This window comes from Homo sapiens, chromosome 2 (assembly GCF_000001405.40).
Source record: "Homo sapiens chromosome 2, GRCh38.p14 Primary Assembly".
Taxonomy (NCBI): Eukaryota; Metazoa; Chordata; class Mammalia; order Primates; family Hominidae; genus Homo; species Homo sapiens.
The window spans coordinates 62,665,719-62,685,519 of record NC_000002.12 but is presented as its reverse complement, the minus strand read 5'-3'; the positions used below and the strand labels follow the sequence as shown (position 1 = coordinate 62,685,519).

The 19,801-nt window shown below is 41.2% G+C and overlaps 1 protein-coding gene across 3 annotated transcripts in view, besides 1 other annotated feature; it reads right to left on the bottom strand.

The window, feature by feature from the left end:
* Nucleotides 1-11,642, bottom strand: part of EHBP1 (EH domain binding protein 1) — a 372,610-nt gene extending 360,968 nt beyond the window's left edge. For all 3 annotated transcript variants that reach the window (XM_047443744.1, NM_001142615.3, XM_011532718.4), the window contains exon 1: nt 11,437-11,642. The gene's annotated coding sequence lies outside the window, so the exon portion shown is untranslated. The remainder of the gene's footprint in view (nt 1-11,436) is intronic.
* Nucleotides 13,673-14,174: an enhancer, noted in NCBI's record as "H3K27ac hESC enhancer chr2:62898481-62898982 (GRCh37/hg19 assembly coordinates)". NCBI's record gives its function as "activates a minimal SCP1, AML or CMV promoter by ChIP-STARR-seq in naive H9 embryonic stem cells {active_cell/tissue: H9 hESC(naive)}" and the evidence as "EXISTENCE:reporter gene assay evidence [ECO:0000049][PMID:30033119]".

The window sequence follows — 19,801 nt, the reverse complement described above, 5'->3', positions numbered from 1 at the left end:
CAAAAGGGGACACTGGGACACAGACAACCACAGAGAGAGAACACCATGTGAAGATGAAGGCACAGACTTGGGTGTTGTTTCTATCAGCCATCAAACCAACAGAAGCTGGGGGAGGGGCATGAAACAGACTCTCCCTCATAACCCTCAGAAGGAACCAACAATGCTGACACCTCCATCTCAGACTTCTTTTTTTCTATTTTTATTATATATTGACAAATTATAGTTGTATATATTTATGGGGTACAAAGTGATGTTACAATTTATAAATACAATGTGGAATGATTAAATCAAGCTACTTAATATATCCATTACCTCAAATATTTATCTTTTTTGTGATGACAGAACATTTGAAATTTATTCTCTTAGTGATATTATAATGTACTGTACTCAATTATTAGCTATATTTGGGAGACTGTCCAATATACCTTGTAAAAAATCAAACTTATTCCTTCTATCTAACAGTTCTTTACCCTTTGACTCTCATCTCCCCATTCCCCCTAGCACCCCCAGCCTCTGGTAACCACTGTTCTGCTCTCTGCTTCTGTGAGTTCAACTGTGTTGGATTCCACATATAAGTGAGTCCATCTCAGACTTCTAACCTCCAGAGCTGTGAGACAACAAATTTCACTGTGTAAGTCACCCAGTTTTTGGTACTTTGTTATGGCTGCCCTTGCAAACTAATACATAAACGTTCTCTCTTTCTTTTCCTCTCTCCCTCCCTCCCTGTCTCCCTCCTTCCCTTCCTTTCTTCCTTCTTTTTCTGGTGGACTTCATAGAAAAGGAGCTGGAAGATAGGAACATAATTTTCCTTCTAAGCCATTGATGGGCTTTAATATTTTTTAGCATGAAAAAATACAAATGCTTGTTTTAAAGCACATCCACACCTTATTTTGACAAATGCTGGTAATAATGGGCAAAAGGGGTTGCCCCAAGGAACACACACGCCAGTGCCCGCTTCATGTGCTTAAAATCAAATCCATGGCTCCTAAAACTCAATGGCTCATTTCAGGCCTTTAAAGAAACCTAATTTTACCCTTGTTTTTCCCACTTTGGCTTTTTCCCTTCCTTGAAGAACCGACTTTTCAACTTGCTGAAAAGCTTTACTTTGCCCAGACCTATTCACTCATCTCCAAAATGGAGCAGAAGCAGTGTTCTAGTATCTCTCCTTCTTTCCCAAGGAGTAATTTTACCTCCCCCACTCTACCCCCATCCCTCCACTCAGAAAGGAGTCTACCTCTCTTTGATACTTATTGTCGCATCTCTTTTCTCCCCATTGCTATGTGAAGGATGTATTTCCAGGACCATTGCTTGGCGTTATATTTGCTGTTCTAAGGGCTTCTTTCTCAATGATACAGCACCAAGGTCACTGGCACTTGCATATGAACATCTGTGCACACCCATATACTCTCACAGAGTTGTCCTTTGTTTCCTAAGATGACAATACTATAATATAATAAACTCCAACGTGTGTGCACTTACACTTGATCAGGCCACTCTGAGAACATGGGATCTTCTTTTGCCAAGTGTGCCTGACACCTCTTCTTGGACTAAAGACTATCCAGACCCCAGAATTGCTTGATATTCTTAGAGCTGCTGCATCCTCATCCATGGTGGGTGAGCCTGAAGCTTCGGTTCATAAAACAGCAAACTCTGGTCCTGCAGCTGCCTGGGTCTGTGGGCTCTAGCAGTTCCACAGCCATCCATGGTGTCACCACATTTCTTGAGCTGTTCTAGGCAAGTAGACATCTGTGGTTTTGCCCACCTGACATTAATTCCCCCTTCTTTCCTAGTTTTTCCACTTTCTGTGTAGTTTAGGTGCTGACCTTACTTACTCATCTTTTTTTTTTTTTTTTTTTTTTTTGAGATGGAGTCTCGCTCTTTCGCCCAGGCTGGAGTGCAGTGGCGCGATCTCAGCTCACTGCAACCTCCGTCTCCCGGATTCACACCATTCTCCTGCCCCAGCCTCCCAAGTAGCTGAGACTACAGGCGCCCGCCACCATGCCCAGCTAATTTTTTGTATTTTCAGTACAGGTGGGGTTTCACCGTGTTAGCCAGGATGGTCTCGATCTCCTGACCTCGTGATCCACCCACCTCGGCCTCCCAAAGTGCGGGGATTACAGGCGGAGACACCGCGCCTGGCCTGCTTACTCATCTTTAGGTCTCTACCATTAGTGAAAGAAAGGGCACATGACCCAAGCCAAGACAATGAAATTCAACTTAGGAACTTGTGATAAAATTGCTGGGCAAGAGTATTGTCTCTGTTTGACTTGAAATTGGGAGAATGTAAACCTGGAGCTTCTGGGGGATGCCAGGCAGAGGAAATCTGAGAACGAAGCCAAGCTGAGAGATACAGAGATCAAGGTGGGATAGGAGGGGGTGGGACCGTTGTTCTGACAGTAGCTGCCTCCTTGGAGCCAGCTAAGCCTAAAATTTTCAGTATATAAGCCAATAAATTCCCTTTGCTTAGGCCATTTTGAGATAAATTTTCTGCTGCTTGCAACTGAAAGCATCCTAATATAGCCATTTTTTTCTTCTGGCCTTTCTTTCTGTCTTCTACCTCTTGCTTAACGTATAATAGTTATTTTAATTTGTGTGTATTAAATTTACATGTTTAGCCATTTCATAACTGTGTTGGGATGAACTTCACTTCAATGTCAGTGAGTGGAGGGTGCAGTGGGCTTACTGTTACTAATCTTATTCTTTGACTTGGAGAATTTACAGTTGGTTGATAATGAAAATATTCTCCAAAATCCAGCAATGTTTTGTCCTAGAGTCAGGCAGTATAGCTTCTCAGAAGGTCAGAAATCATCAGAACTTGTTATAGGCTTATGACCTCGTTAAGAGCTCAATATTGTGCTGGTACCATCTGTCTGTCAGGTTCTTAAATGTCAACATGATCCTGGTTTATTTCTAGACTTTGTCAATCAGTTTATCACATGCTATCTGCAAAATAGAACCCAATGATATCCTCATTCCAGGCTGAGTATAGGATTTTCTTGGTGCAAGCTAGTATGCAACTTTGGTTGTGTAGCTGCTATAAAAACTGTTCACAGATGGTTATAAAGAACAAAAAGGACAATAAATTGGAAAATATGACTATTAATCCAAAGGTACTAGAAAAGCTCCTTCCTAGCACTTTCCAAGCAAGAGAAAAGAAGACAATGACAACGATCACCACTTAAATCGTAGCTATTCCCACTGACAATGAAGGACACACAGACAGACCCCCGATTTATAAGATCCCTTATTTATCACTTTTTATAACACACCCTAGTAAACAATTAAATATCTTTTATTTGATATCTTAAATTGGAAAGTCCTCTGCTGTCATAGAGTTTGATTTCCCTGACAATGTAGGCATGTCCTCCACATCCTTCCTAAATGGCTATCCAGCCTCCTTCTGAATGTCAAAATGTCTCCAGGGATTGAGGTCTCTGTCCATTGAAGGCAAACTCATTTTTACAGAAAGTATTCCCTTGTGCTGAGCCACAGCCTCTCTCCTCTAACTTTAGAGCACCAGAAGTTTACTTAGGGGAACTTAGAGATCATTCAATCCAATAACTTCATTTTGTGCCCAGTGATGTGCCTTCCAGAACAGAGTATCTATCTAATCATTTCCTCTGTAATGGCTCTTTCCAATATTTTATGACAGCATTTGTGTTCTTTCCATCACACTTTTTCTCTGGGATAAATACACTCAGGTGCTTCACTCCTTCCTTACCCTGGCCCAAGTTCCCTAACTTCTGGACTTCTAATTCCCCCTTATGATATGATACAGTCTCCCATGATATCCCACTAGTATTCATGCAGAAGCTACATTATTTCCTTCCAGGTGCAAAACTAAAAAACAGGGGGGAAAACATTTTTCAGTATTTTATACCCATAATAGTTTTAGCCTCCTGAACAAAACAGGGTTGGCTATAAATGGCCTGTCAATGTTTCTGGCAAAGCCAGATTTTCTGCAAATAAATTTGTCAGGCTTCAGATCATCAAGCCTCTCAATAGTATGGAATTGTGCTATTGCAAGCCTCTTTAGCAGTTTAACTTAGACCACTGCTTAGTCATTTCAGTCATGCTATCTTACATGTATTCAGTTTTTTGTATGTGTATATATATATATACATATATACACATTATATATTTATACATATATACACATTATATATATATATATATATACACACACACATACATACAAATATATATATATATTTGAGATGGAGCTTTGCTCCATCACCCAGGCTGGAGTGCAGTGGCATGATCTCAGCACACTGCAACCTCCACCTCCCAGGTTCAAGCGATTCTCCTGCCTCCGAGTAGCTGGGATTACAGGTGGCCACCACCATGCCTGGCTAATCTTTGTATTTTTAGTAGAGACGGGGTTTCACCATGTTGGCCAGGCTGGTCTCAAACTCCTGACCTCAGGTGATCCACCTGCCTCAGCCTCCCAAAGTGCAGGGATTACAGGCATGAGCCATCACGCCCGGCCATTTTTTGTATATTTATAAAGTATTTTCATTCCTATCTTGTTTGATATTCAAAAAATGAATACATGTAAGATTACTCTCCTTTCCTCCCAGTATGATAGGGTAGGAAAGCTACCATGCTGGAAGGAAAGCAGGGCAACATGTTATTTTCTTCACTTTGCAGATGATGCTCAATGACTCCTCCAAAGTTAGGTTCTAACGAGTTGGTAGTAGAGATAGGACTTATATCCCACGAATCTTGACTCTCAGATTGCTGTCTTGTTTTCTGTATAGCTACTGTCCTTTGTCACTAAATAGCCTCATATTCCCTCTAGACAGCACTACTGCTTGAGTAGCTCTCTTAAAGGGAGTTCTCTTCACTCCTAGAAGAACCCATATTTCTGACTATTAGAGTCCAGTGATCTCATTAGATTCCAAGGCTTTATTCTCCTCCCTCCTGTTTTATGCAAAACTGATTTTGAAATGAGCAAACACTGCAATGCAACAATAATTTTTAAGTGCCCACCTTCCCTTTTCCCCCCTCCCCCCTTCAATCTGCTGATGGGAATCAGAAGTTCAATTTATCAAACATTGCAAGAAAGGGCAAGATAAGTTTTAAGTCATAAGCTGACAGTGAGTAATGATTAAAAAGAAAATTAAAACTCATTACCTGTAGGACTCCTACTCACTTTCTCCTTTGCCTCTGGTAATTCACTTATCTTTAGATTCAATAACTTGAGGAACAGGGGAGGGTAGAACAGTGTGAGGGATGAGGATGAAGCCAAGGGGCACTGAAAATGAGAGGGGAGGAACTCTGCATTCAAATGGGAGACATGTTGTTCCAGCCAGTCTTTGTATAGGAGTAGCTCTCCAGCTAAAAATAGAACTTTCCTTTCCTATATGGTGATCTCCCCTTAACTCAGTGAAAGCGTTCATGTAGAAGACATGAGGTTGGATAATGTTTTCCTTTTAGGTTCTTCTTCCTGGATTGATAAACAATTATAAGGGAAGGACAAATCCCTCACATTTGGGAGAAAAGTTTCCTTAAGTTTCTTTACCTGAATTTGAATGGAAGAGTTGGGGATTAACATGCTAAGTACGCTCTAGATAAACGCTCAGATGAAGCATGTCTTGCCCTTTCACCTTAGGTCTGCCAAGCCCAAAATATAGCCCAAGACTCAGCTTAGCTGTGGTTTTCCTCCAGGCCTCTAAACACTTGGCACAACACACCTTGTTGGTGATGGTTTGGGATTTAACCTTGAAGTCAAGTGGTTACTTAATTAAATGATCCAAATCTTTGTCTAGACTAATAGCCAATGCCATTTTATTTTTTTAAAAATGTTTTTTGCCAACTTTTAGACTTTATACTAAGAGTCTGTCTTAAGTCTTTTATTACCGTTGAGAAATTTGCAACTATTTTTTCCCCAATAGTAAAGAGGCATGAAATTTTCTAAGATCCTTGCTTCGGGTACTAGATGCCTACTAGGACCTTAGAACAAGAAACTGGAATATTAGGAGAGCCAATTATGGGGGTAGGGAGAGATAAAAGATAGGTGGCAAACAAAAATAATCTAAAAGAAAATATAAATGCTAAACTGACTATTACAGGAACAAAAAAGTGCTAAAATTAATCAGGTACACATACCAGTGATGTCATATTTGCAGGGGATAAGGAAAAACTAATCGACCGGATTTTAGGTTAATGTCCTCTTGGCTTTCTGGAGAGGCTATGGTATTGTCAAGCTTATGGTATTTATGTGAGTTATAAAAATAGCAGAACTATCCAAGAGATTTCTGGATTCCTGAACTGACTATAGGTGTGATATTGATGTTAAAGTTTAGTCAATTTTCCATTATTTGGGGATCAATAAACCAGTTTAAATTGTTGTGGGAGGTCAAATTTAAAAAAGACACTATTTGTTTTAGATTATGCTGATAAAATACAAAGCATAGGCTATAGAGTCCAAGTTTTTGGGGCTTGGAGTCCAGGCCGTATCTCACTAGCTGAGCTGCCTTGAGTGAGTCATTTGGCCTCTCTAAGACTCAGGGTTCTCTGTATTAAAATTACTTTAATATTTGGGAATGATAGTAAGAGTAGTTAAAAATAAAACAAAATAAATTAAAATTAACATGGCTTTAAAATAATTTAAAATAATAATTAAGGATATGAAAAAATTCTGAGTAAGAAATGGGTTATAAAAAAGACAAAGTATTTGTTTTTAGTAAATATACATGTAATAAAAATGTAGAGCACTAAATATATAAAAGGTAGGACAAAGGTCAATAGATATTTGGGTACAGGGATATTTATTTCTGTTTTAACTTTTGTGGATTTTCTGAATTTTTCTTTTGACCATGTATTAATGATGTTGAGAAATTTTTAAAATTATAACTTTTAATAATAAAGACCAGATCCTGAAAAAAAATGAGTTGAATAATAACAGCTATTTTGGAACTCAAATAAGCTAATGTATATGAATACAGTTTATAAACTCTAAAGTACTAATTACTGTTATTATTCTCTAATGCTGGCCCTAGGTTATAAATCAAAAGGGGAAATAAAACACAACCTGTAAAAAGCTTCTGCACAGCAAAGGAAACATTAACAAAGTGAAGAAACAACCCACAGAATGAGAGAAAAGATTTGCAAACTACTCATCTGACAAGGGATTAATAACCAGAATATATAAAGAACTCAGACAACTCTATAGGAAAAAGTCTAATAATCCTATCAAAAATGGACAAAATATTTGAATAGACATTTCTCAAAAGAAGATATACAAATTGCAAACAGGTATATGAAAAAATTTTCAACATCATTGATCATCAGAGAAATGAAAATCAAAACTGCAGTGAGATATCATAATCTTACACCAGTTAAAATGGCTTTTATCCAAAAGTCAGGCAATAACAAATGCTGGTGAGGATGTGGAGAAAAGGGAACGGGTACGCTGTTGGTGGGAACATAAATGAGTACAACCACTGTGGACAACATTTGGAGGTTCCTCAAAAAAACTTAAATAGAGCTACTATATGATCCAGGAATCCCACTGCTAGGTATATACCCCAAAGGAAGGAAATTAGTATATCAAAGAGTTATCTGTACTCCCAACTTTATTGCAGCAGTGTTCACAATAGCCAAGATTTGGAAGCAACCTAAGTGTCCATCAACAGATGAATAAAGAAAATGTGGTAGTTAATCACAGTGGAGTACTATTCAGCCAAAAGAAAGAATGAGATCCTGTTATTTGCAACAACATGGTTGGAACTGGAGGTCATTATGTTAAATGAAATAAGCCAGGAACAGAAACACAAACTTTGCATGTTCTCACTTATTTGTGGGAGGTAAAAATTAAAATAATTAAACTCATAGATAGTATAAGGATGGTTACCAGAGGCTGCAACGGGTAGTGGGGTAGGTGGGGGGAAGTGGGGATGGTTAATGGGTACAAAAAAATAGAAAGAATGAATAAGATCTAGTATTTGTTAACATAACAGTGTGACTATAGTAAAAAATAACTGTACATTTAAAAATAACTAGAAGAGTATAATTGGATTGTTTGTAACACAAAGGATAAATGCTTGAGGCGGTGGACACATTTACCCAACGTGATTATTATGCACTGCATTCCTGTATCAAAATATCTCATGTAACCCACACATATTTACACCTGTTGTATACCCACAAAAACTAAAAATTAAAATTAAAAAAATTTAAAACCAACATGCTTGGGGGGGAAATGGCAATGAATATTACTTTTACTGTATTTCCATTTTCTTACTTCACCTGGGTCTTTGAAATGCTGTATTCATCTACTGTTTTGGCTTTATTCGTCAAAGGTTTTTTGTTTGTTTGTTTTGAGACAGGCTTGCTCTGTCAACCTGGCTAGAGTGCAGTGGCACAATCACAGCTCAGTGTAGCCTCAACCTCCCCAGTTCAAGTGATCTTTCTCTTTCCCCTTGCCCCCCAGCTCTACCTGTCCCTCCCCGACCACTGCGAGTATCTGGGACTGCGAGAATGTGCCACCATGCCCAGCTAAGTTTTAAATTTTTTGTAGAGACAAGGTTTCACTATGCTGCCCAGGTTAGTCTTGAACTCCTGGGCTCCTGCCTTGGCCTCCCAAAGTGCTGGCATTATAGGCATGATGCATCACACCTGGCTATCCTTCAAAGGCTTCTGTATTAGAGATCTTTATCCCCTTATGCTCATGTTAAGAACTGAGAAAAACAACGATTGCTGTAGACTTGCTCATCCATAACTTAAGGAAGCAAGTTATGGCACTTGGCTATAGCCCTTGGGAATTTAAATTCCACTGACCGGCGAAGGCCCTTTAAAAAAAAAAAGGAATATGGTTTCTGCCTGCTTTTCCAGCAAAACAATGGCTTGGTCTTTTGTGGCTTGATAAATCCCTAGAAAACGAAAATAATGAAGCTTATACAATTTGACAACCCCCATGTGGGAATTTCCCAGCTACACAGTCCCGCAGGATCATGGCTGGTGTGTCAAAGACACAGGCTAACCCGTGGCTTTATTCACACCAAATAAACAGTCCCCCAGAGTGAATCAAATTAGGTGACCATCACTGGCCATTTTTTAAATGTAAATTCTGAAAGGAATATGACAATTCAGTCAGCAAAAATGTGTTTGTGAAATAAAGCACAATGTCAATTCATCTCCCTCAGCAGTTACTAGGCAAGAAACTTAAATGAGTAACTTTTAAAAGCCAAATGAAATATTTTACATCTGTATCTTCAGTGATATCTTACTAGTCATTAAGGTTTACTTTAAGACAATTATCACTTCATGAAATGGGACATGCACAATGATTAACTACGGTGTAATGCTTATAAGAAAGTATTCATAACCATGCTTTTTGAAGAGGGCAGCTCTATTTTGGCCTGCTTAATTAAGGATAGATTCATAACCATGCTTTTTGAAGAGGGCAGCTCTATTTTGGCTTGCTTAATTAAGAAACTTTTAATTCTTAATAACCACGAGGTCGGGTGCAGTGGCTCACGCCTGTAATCCCAGCACTTTGGGAGGCCAAGGCTGGCCGGCTACTTGAGCTCAAGAGTTCAAGCCCAGCCTGGGCAATATGGTGAAACCCCTTCTCTACCAAAAAATAAAAAAAAACTTGTGGGCCATGGTGGTACGCACCTGTGGTTCCAGATACTTGGGAAGCTTAAGTGGGAGGACCGCTTGAGGCCAGGAGGTGGAGGCTGCAGTAAACCAAGATTGCACCACAGCACTCCCGTCAGGACCCATCTCAAAATAATAACAACAATAATAATAACCAGACAATTTCCTTCTGCATGAATTCAAACTCAAAGACTCCCAGGACAGGAAGATACCTCTCCATGGGTTCTTCCTTCTATGTGGCCTTTTTTTGCAGCATTGAAAATTTTTTTCTTGGGAGTATTTCAAGAAACAGAAGAAAGGCCTTATTTTGTCCCTAGGCTTCCTTTTTTCCCCATGTTCTAACTTTGCCAAAAATGGAAACACACTATTTGGCTCTCCTCAAAGTTTCAAGACTATTTCAATGCCTTTTCATTATCCTTTGCATATTCAGCCATTTTCTGTGGTTGGGAGCAGGAGGTTGTCACCTTCAGTATATTCACAAAAAAGCAGTACTCTAGGACTTTCTAGAGTACCTCAAGGGCCATGACTTGCACATATAGACACTTTAAAGTCACTTAGTAAAATGCATTCTGTAGAGGCAGATGAATTACAAACAGGTTCCTCTTCCCTGGCACTAGGGTTCATGGTCAGTGAAGGACAGCTGGGCTTTAACCCTTATCTGGAGGGACACTTTTTCACAGGGCACAGACTACCCTACAGGCTACTCTGGAGACATGCTCACTTTTAATGGCTCCTTTCTAAGCATGCCTGAGGCCACAGTTATCTGAAAAGAGACTGTGGGCATCATTTCTTCAGCACCAGAAATCTCTCCAGTTTCTGCCTCCCAGATTTCCTTCAAATGTTCACTCTCTTCTGTTCTCTCTAGTTCTCTCCATCCCACTGAAATCTCACTGAAATGAACTCAAGTTCTCCCTCTCTGACCACTAATTCTCAAACTTTTTTGACCAAGGTTAACCTAGGTCAGCAGAAGGCTCTTAAGACTTGGCTGGGTATGGTGGCTCACACCTGGCATCCCAGTGCTTTGGGAGACCGAGACAGGAGAATCATTTGAGGCCAGGAATTTAACATCAGCCTGGAAAACATAGCGAGACCCTGTCTCTAAAAATAAAAATTAAAGAAAAGCTCTAAGACTCATATACTCCAGCCCTTCCTGCTTTTTTCTCAAAAAATTCTCTGATAACAATAAACTGTTGCTGCACAAACACACTTTGTGAGGATTATGTGAATATCTGCTTTAGCAATATTGGTTTAGATGATTCCTATGTGCACTACAATCCACATTTGGTTTAAAGTTTTATCATAGAAAACTTATAGGTCATAAATTGTGTCAACTTATACAGGCATCACTATCCTACTGTAGGGTTAACCAAACAACCCACTTCAAACAACATAGAGGGTGATGAAGGTAAATGAAATGTAATTTATAATTAAAAAGCAGGAATAGAAACCACCAAAAAGCACAACCAACTCGATACAGCACTGATGCTAATATAAAGCAAACTTCCCCAAAATTGAGGATATTTCAACAATCTGCTCATGCATGTTTTTAGTGGGAGCTCTTCAAATATTGCCAAGTATTGCCTAGCAGCCAGGTGAATGCTCAGGTAAGCCCCCAGTAAACTCTAGTTACGTGCTAAATTTTTATTTATGAATATGAAATACTACCATTAACAACTCAGCAGTTATTAAGTAGCTTTTACACACACACACATACACACACATGAAAATCTAGGTTATCAAGGACCATTTGCTAGTAAGATCCAAAGAAAAGACATATTTGGGGATGCTTCTAGAACATTAGGAGGATGCTTGTGGCCTACCAGTTCATACCTTGAAAATCACTGGTTAGGTGGTTGGCTTGGCTTTTTGATTCGGCTTCTTGAGATGCACAGTCACCTTTTCTGATTCTCACATTGCTGCTACAGGGGCATGCTAACCTTGTGTCCTAGCAAGCAACCCAGTTCTGCCATGACTTGGACCTCCAAATCCCCAGTCTCTCGCTGGAGTCTCTCTTTGGGGAGGGAGAGTCAGATGTTACCCACAAACTGGGGAGCCTCCCAGTTAACACCCTGGAGTATCTGTGATGACATAATGGGAGGCCTTCAGTGATACATGGTGGAGGGAAGTCAGAAGACCTGGTCACAGACCACCTCTGCCTTGCCACCTGTTTGACAGCAGGCAAATCACCTCAATTGTCAGCTCACATTTATCCTCTGAAAAATGAAAATATAGTCATGCACTGATAGCAACATTTTGGTCAGTCATGGACTGCATAATACAGTGATCCCATAAGATTATAATACTGTATTTTCACTGTATCTCTTCTATGTTTAGATACACAAATATTTGCCATTGTATTACATTTGCCTACAGTATTCAGTATACAAACATGCTGCATAGGTGTGTAGCCATGGACTATACCACATAGCCAAGGTGGGTAGTAGGTTTGTGTGAGTACCCTCTATGATGTTTATAAAATGACAAATGGCCTAATGATGTATTTCTCAGGACTTATCCACAATGATAAGCAAAGCATGACTATAACAATACCAACCTCATAGATTTCTTGTGAAGATCAAATGAGATAATGTAAGTGATAAATAAATAAATCCATTTATAAAAGTATTATGTTATTGTCGCAGAGAGGAAATGTTCACACAAGCATCTTGACTGTTCTGTTTACAAAGTATGCCTGAAATTAGGGTTGCAATCGTTTATAATAATGACAAACAATCCGAACTGTCAACCATGAAGGTCAAATTCAAAGACCGCACAGGCCCTACAAACTACTGAGAAAGAGTTGAGAATTCCTGATTCCGCAAGTACATGTCTCAGTGATCCTGAATCCCTTTCTTTTTTTCCTTCTCATGGCTTGGAGAGCAGGACTTAATTCAGATTAATTCCAAACATTAGAAATGAAGGTTGGTTTTTTCTTTTTTCTTTTCCTTCATCCCACTTGAGTTTCAGAGCTCCAAGAGGACAGTGGCTGAAGAATGCTAGGAATTCTTCCTTCCACCCAGTCAGGAATGTGTCCTGCCTAGGGAACTTAGAAGGAATGTGAGGGCTGCCAGATAAGCCCCAGCACTTGAAGCAGTCAGAGCAGGGGACTGTGGACTTAGTACTGGAAAGAGCCCTCCTCTAGAATCAGGCCCTCCTCAACACCCCCAAGAGGCTGCTCTTAGGCTGAGAGTGGAGGCCAGAGCTGGTGATGCAGGAATAACCTCTGCAGCCAGTAAGTGAAGAGACAGCTCAGCTGGATGTTTGAAACAAAGAACGGCAGTGTTTTTAGTCTTTGGGGAAAGTACATGGTCATGGTACATGGCAGAGGATTTTTTTTATTGCAGAGGATTTTTTAGATCAACACATATATGGGCTTGAACATGGGCTCTGCCATCTGCCAATTAGCTGCATGACTAGGGTTGGATACTCTGTGCTAATAACAGTACCTACTTCCTATGGTTGTGGGCAAATTGAATAAAATAATGTACATAAAATACTTCTCGCAGTGCCTCTCCATAATGTTGGGCTATAAAGCCTACTTTTACATGACTAACTTTTAAAGAGTCTTGATACCCTGCATTTATTCAAAGTGTTATAGTATACAATGTGTTTTCATATTTGTTACCTTTTTTTAATTGCATTAAGCAATGGTATAAACTTGAACACTCTTGGGATGGTTTGTAGATATGTTACTCTTTTGGAACAAATAATTAGATGTCAGCTTTGGCAGTTATCACAGGGCCTCATCTTAGCTCTTACCCACACCTTGCCCCTGTCACGGTTTTTTCAGGGAGCTGCCAGTCACAGGCAGGCTGCTTTTCTCAAGCACACTGGCATTGAACCAGTGTAGCCACTCTCACCCAGACAATAGTGGGAGCTTGGAATAAGTTGTTCTTAGAGGTCAGAGAGAGGCTCAAAGACTTCAGGGGTTCTGTCAGGTAGGGTTGCCCTTAGGCAGCCTCTGGAACAGCCAGCCTGCCTATCTGATCCCCTCAAGCCTGGGTCTCAAAGTTTCACATGCGTTGGAGAAGATCTGCCCTGCACCATGCCCCTAACAGGGTTTTCCTTGCCTGCTGCTTTGCTTCTGCCAATCTTCCCGGAAAAAGGGTTGGGGAGGCAGGACTCTATCTATCTTAACACTTTCTTGTTCAGACAAGAACTCCTGGAACAGTGTTGTTCGTCAGTGTGACCATGACGCTTGGCATTCCTGGGGTCATGGCACTGCTTCACCTCCCTGGACCCTGATGGGACCTATTGAGTCTTTCTATAGACTTGATCTTGGATTTTCAGCTTCCTCCTAGTGGGGATGAGGATGCAGTTCTGACCTACTGCCTAAAGCCACTATGAGTTTCCTGGAAACTCTTTCTTCCCCACTCTAGGTCCCTCTGTAATATCAGCCACGGACTCTGGACACGGAGCCTCATGTCTAGCTGGGAGCAAACTTAATCCTACACTGACTGCCTTAATGCTTCTAGGGTGGTTCCTATATGCCATTTACCTCCCACTCTGTAAGTCTAAGAGAAATTTCATCCTTTATTGGTAGTAAGGACACATTGTTTTTCGGGGGGAAAACACATGAAACCATTGCTTTTATTGACCTTCTTGAATTTCTAACGGCATGACAAGCTGGGACCACAGCTCTCTTGAGTTGGCAGGGAGGCTAGTGAGTGAGGGCCAGGCCCAGTCATGTGTGTAGGGGCTCAGGATGGAGTTTGGAGGAACTTTCCTGTATGAGAATCTGGACCTGGGACAAGGGTCTAAAGCAGAGTCTAAAGGATGCAGCCAGTTGTCTTATGGTGTGGTCTTTGCTAGTGAAAGGCAGAAGATATTCCAAGGTATGATTAGATTGGGGATAAGGGATGAATGCAGGTTGCCTACATGTGGCCAGGCTCCAGACAGAAGGATTGTTTATGGGAGCAGGATCCAGGCTGAATAGGTGAAGAGAGACAGAACACTAGGGCTCCCATTACTAGCTAAAGTTGTGAGCAGGGTCAGGCATTCAACAACACATTTTAAAATACAGCATCAGGCAAATGTATACCTGATGCTGAGAGTAGCTTGAGCATCAGTCTACATTTCTTCCCATACACCCTCTCCTGATTATTTGTCTGCTTTGCCTGCCACTCATGACCATGATTTGTTTGCTGCCCCTCCTAAAATATTCAAACCCTGTACCTGCCTTCAGCTTTGCCTGACAACTACCCTCCACCCCACTCTACTTTTGCTTCTCATCTCTGGATATAACGTTTACTCTAGGATGTTTCATGTGCCCTAAACCCATCATTTCCCCCTCAAATCTACTGCTCCTCCAGTCTTCCCTGTTTTACTGACTGACACTGAAGCTAGAGAGCTGAGGGTTATCATAGTCTCATCGTACCTCTCTATCCACCATGTGCATTATCACTCTGGTGATTAGCCCATCTCTATTCCACGATGCTCTTGGGCTGTGGTAGACATCACCAGTGCCTACCTATATCCAATTCTTCGTTTCTTCCTGGGCACACAAGAGACTCTACTTCCTGACCCACTTCCAGTTAGGCAGAGCCATAAGACTAGTTTGGGCCAATGAAATGTGAATGGAAATTCATTTATTATTACTGGTCTAAGGCAGTGAAAAGCTCTTTCTTGATTCTCTTTATCTGAGACTTTTCTCTTCTACTGTTGTGTTGAATGCAGAGATGTTATGTTGAGGTGGTAGAATCACCGAATCAAAGAAGCCTGGATAGCAGTCATGGAGGGTGGCTGCCTTGGAGAGATGCTTAGACCTGCAGCAGATGCTGCATGATTAAGAAATAAACTTTTGTGTTAAGCCACTCAGATGGGATCATTTACTACCATAGCATAATCCAGTTCATCCTGACTAGTACAATCACGAAATCCTGTTGATTTTACTACCTCATATTATTTGAATCAACTTCTCCTCTACAGTATCTCTGCTGCTGTAGCTCAGGACCTCAACATCTCCCACCAGGACTAGTGGAAAAGTTTTAAAACAGTCTCCTCATCTCCAGTTTGACATTCCTCGAACTCATTCTCCAGACACACTAGAATGGTCCTTGTATAATTCAAATCTAATCATGTATCTTGGGTTACCCTGCTTTGTTGGCTTCCTGACAGTGGCATGATGAATAGTGCCACATGACAGGGCTTCTCCCCAGCCAGCCTCATCTCCCATCTCTCATCTCCTTCCATTTTATAACCAGTAATACTCACATGTTTGTGATTTCCAGAATAATCCATGTTGTTTCACGCTTCCATGCCTTTGTTCATGCTGTTCCATTTATCTGAGACGTCTTTATATACCCTTCACTCTCTTCTTTGCCTGGCCAACTCCTATTCTTCCAGACTATGTTCTAAAACCACCTTTACTGAGGTTTCCTGCTGGATTTAATACCGCTCCTTCATACTCTCACGGCATCATCTGCACATGAATGAACACATTATAGTGCATCTGATTATTGGTCTGTCTCCCCTGTGAGAGTACAAACTTGACTAGGTTGATACCGGTTAGACAGTGGGTGCTCAGTTGTAGGAAATGCTGAGGTAATGAGATTCAATGATGATGTGGACATTCAGGGATCATCTTTGGACACAGATCCCCAGTATGATGGACTGTGATGTACACCTGAAAGTTCTGGCCTGACAGCTTCATCACTGAGGTGGGCCTCTAGGTCTGACAAGAGTGGGGCTGGAGGTTCTGACTTCATGACAAGCTTAACGAACGGTAGGCCCAAGGAATTATTAACTTTCTGCCCTAGTCAAGATTAGCTCAAGAACTGAAGAAATATTACATTGAATGGGAACTGTGAAGAGACATTACTTTGAGAAACAGGTAAGGCAGAAGCAGAAGAAAGACGGTAGGACCTGATATAATTTTTTTTTTTTTTTTTGAGATGGAGTCTTGCTCTGTCACCCAGGCTGGAGTGCAGTGGCACAATCTTGGCTCACTGCAACCTCTGCCTCCCAGGTTCAAGTGATTCTCCTGCCTCAGCCACCTGAGTAGCTGGGAATACAGGTGCCTGCCACCATGCCTGGCTAATTTTTATATTTTCAGTAGAGACGGGGTTTCACCATGTGGGCCAGGCTGGTCTCGAACTCCTGACCTCAAGTGATCTGCCCACCTCAGCCTCCCAAAGTGCTAGGATTATAGGCATGAGCCACCACACCTGGCCATAACCTTACAATATCATCAACACGCTTTCTAGATTAGGCTTAGGGAGCAATCACACAGTTTGGCTTTCTTGAACTACTATAATAATAAATGCAGTAGATTCTTACTATTCATAATAGTTATGTTCTATAAAGTCACTGACAACACTGATTAGCAAATAGTGAGCCAACACCCCTAGGGAATATAGAGGAGTAGATTCCTGCAAGCCTCTTGTCACATTTTTGTTAACCAATCAATACATAATTATGTTTTATGTGTGTTTCTGTTTAAAGATGCCTTGTTTACTTTAATATATATTGTTGATTAACATTGAACTCATGGCCAACAACACTGTAACTCATGCCTGAACAAAGCTTATCTAACACATATTTTCTCTGTAAGGTGATTTTTGTGCTTAGGAACACTAGATAGCACTTTAGCACTACACTTGGGGTCCATCTTAAAAAGCAAAATCGGCTGGGCTCAGTGGCTTACGCCTGTAATCCCAGCACTTCGGGAGGCCGAGGTGGGTGGATCACTTGAGGTCAGGAGTTCGAAACCAGCCTGGCCAACATGGTGAAACCCCATCTCTACTGAAAATACAAAAATTAGCCAGGCGTGGTGGCACACACTTGTAATCTCAGCTACTCGGGAGGCTGAGGCAGGAGAATCACTTGAACCTGGGAGGCAGAGGTTGTAGTGAGCCAAGACTGTGCCACTGCACTCCAGTCTGGGAAACAGAGCAAGAGTCCATTTCAAAAAAAAAGAATCAAAACTATCAAGAAAAACACAAATGTGAAAAACATGGCATTAAATAGACTGCAAAAAGGACACTTGTTTACAGTATGAGAGCTGGAACAAGAATGCACAGCATCACCTTGTTTAACCTCAGCTGGGGATGTGTATGTCAGATGACTAAAATTTTTCACTGCTCTGTGCATGTCCATGAATGACAATGAAAGCACCATGAGTGTTCATTTTGGGGTTACAAATAACTTTTTTTTTTTTTCTGAGACAGAGTCTCGCTCTGTCATCCAGGCTGGAGTGCAGTGGCGCACGATCTCCGCTCACTGCAACCTTCGCCTCCCGGGTTCACACCATTCTCCTGCCTCAGCCTCCTGAGCAGCTAGGACTACAGGTGCCCACCACCATGCCCAGCTAATATTTTTTGTGTGTTTTTAGTAGAGATGGGGTTTCACCTTCTTAGCCTGGATGGTCTCGATCTCCTGACCTCGTGATCCACCCCCTACTCGGCCTCCCACAGTGCTGGGATTACAGGCGTGAGCCACCACGCCTGGCCCACAAATAACTTTTAGTGTGTAGGCAAATCCCTAAATATGAAATCCATGAATAATAGGAATCTATTGTAGCTTCAACACCTACCACGTGGCTTTGAGCTAGGTGCTTTACAAATACATATCTTGCCAAGTTTACCAACTTTTCATTCTTCAATGAGTGAGATGACATAGAGTTAATATGGTGAGCATATCCTTAAATGCATAGGCTATCACCATTGAAAAAAATAGGACTTTCTAGTAAGATTAGTGTCACACAATATTTATTTATTTATTTATTGAGATGGAGTCTGGCTCTGTCGCCCAGGCTGGAGTGCAATGGCACAATCTCAGCTCACTGCAACCTCCGCCTCCTGGGTTCAAGCGATTCTTGTGCCTCAGCCTCCTGAATAGTTAGATTACAGGTGCCTGCAGCCATGTCCATCTAATTTTTGTATTTTTAGTAGAGACAGGGTTTTGCCATGTTGGCCAGTCTCGTCTTGATCTCCTGACCTCAGGTGATTTGCCCGCCTTGGCCTCCCAAAGTACTAGTGCTGGGATTACAGGGGTGAGCCACTGCACCCGGCCTCATACAATATTTATATTAAGCTTATGCATGCATTAGTGGGGTTGAAACTTGTAATAGGCTAGGCTTCTGCTCCTTTGGGAAAGTTCTGAGCTCTTGTAGAAAACTAAGAACACATTGCACACTCAGCAACAGAGCTATTGACTGATTATGCTTAAAGACCCTCAGATTGTGTACTAAGGTCTGAAGAGAATCTTCCTTATAGGAAAACATGCTTGGCAGTTAAGAGCACAATCACCCAGCTTCTGAATATTCCCAGGCAGCATCACTGGAGCCCAAAACAGTCAAGTAAACAAATTCAAAGAGACAAATATGTCTTTAAGGACACTGACTCGTTGAATGGGAAGCCAAATTGTCAGCAAGTTTTAGACAAATAGACTAAATGTTTTTGTCCCCTCAAAATTCATATGTTAAATCCTAATGCCCAGTGTGATGGCATTTAGAGATAAGGCCTTTGGGAGGTTATTAGGTCATGACACTGGAGCTGTCATAAATGAGATTAGCGCTCTTATAACAGAGGCTCCAGAGAGCACCCTCACCACCTTCTGCTATGTAAGAACACAACAAAGCTGTCTATGAACCAGACACTGAATCTGGTGGTGCCTTGATCTTGGGCTTCCTAGCCTCCAGAGCTGTGAAAAATACAATTTCATTGTTTATAAGCCACCCAATCAATAGTATTCTCTTATAGCAGCCTGAACGGACTAAGACACCAACCAAATACCTGCAAAATGAGGATCTTGTCCAATTATCTATGTGCACACAGTCTTCCTATCTGCAGCTTGCTTTCCATTCAGGTCAGTCTGGACTCTGTTCCAAATTATGTGGTGCGCATTCCTTCTCCTCATCTTTATTCTTGCCAGAATGCCATCCTCTTCTTCAGCCAAATTATCTTTGACTAGCAAGACTCAATTCAGTCCCACATCTTCCATTAACCTCTCCTGGATCTCCTCCGCCACCCATAACTTCCTTGGATCATCCAAAATCTGGCTCACTTGTCACTTCATCTGTAAAAGGGAAGTAATAACACATGCCTCTCAGGACTTTTGTGGGACAGCGTGTGAATGTGCATACCTCAGGGCCTGGCACAAAGTGGATGCTCAATGTTAGTGATATGGATTTAGAATTATGTTTTTCATTTTGGTTCATAGGCATTAACCTTTTATTTCCCCTTCATAGGCAAAT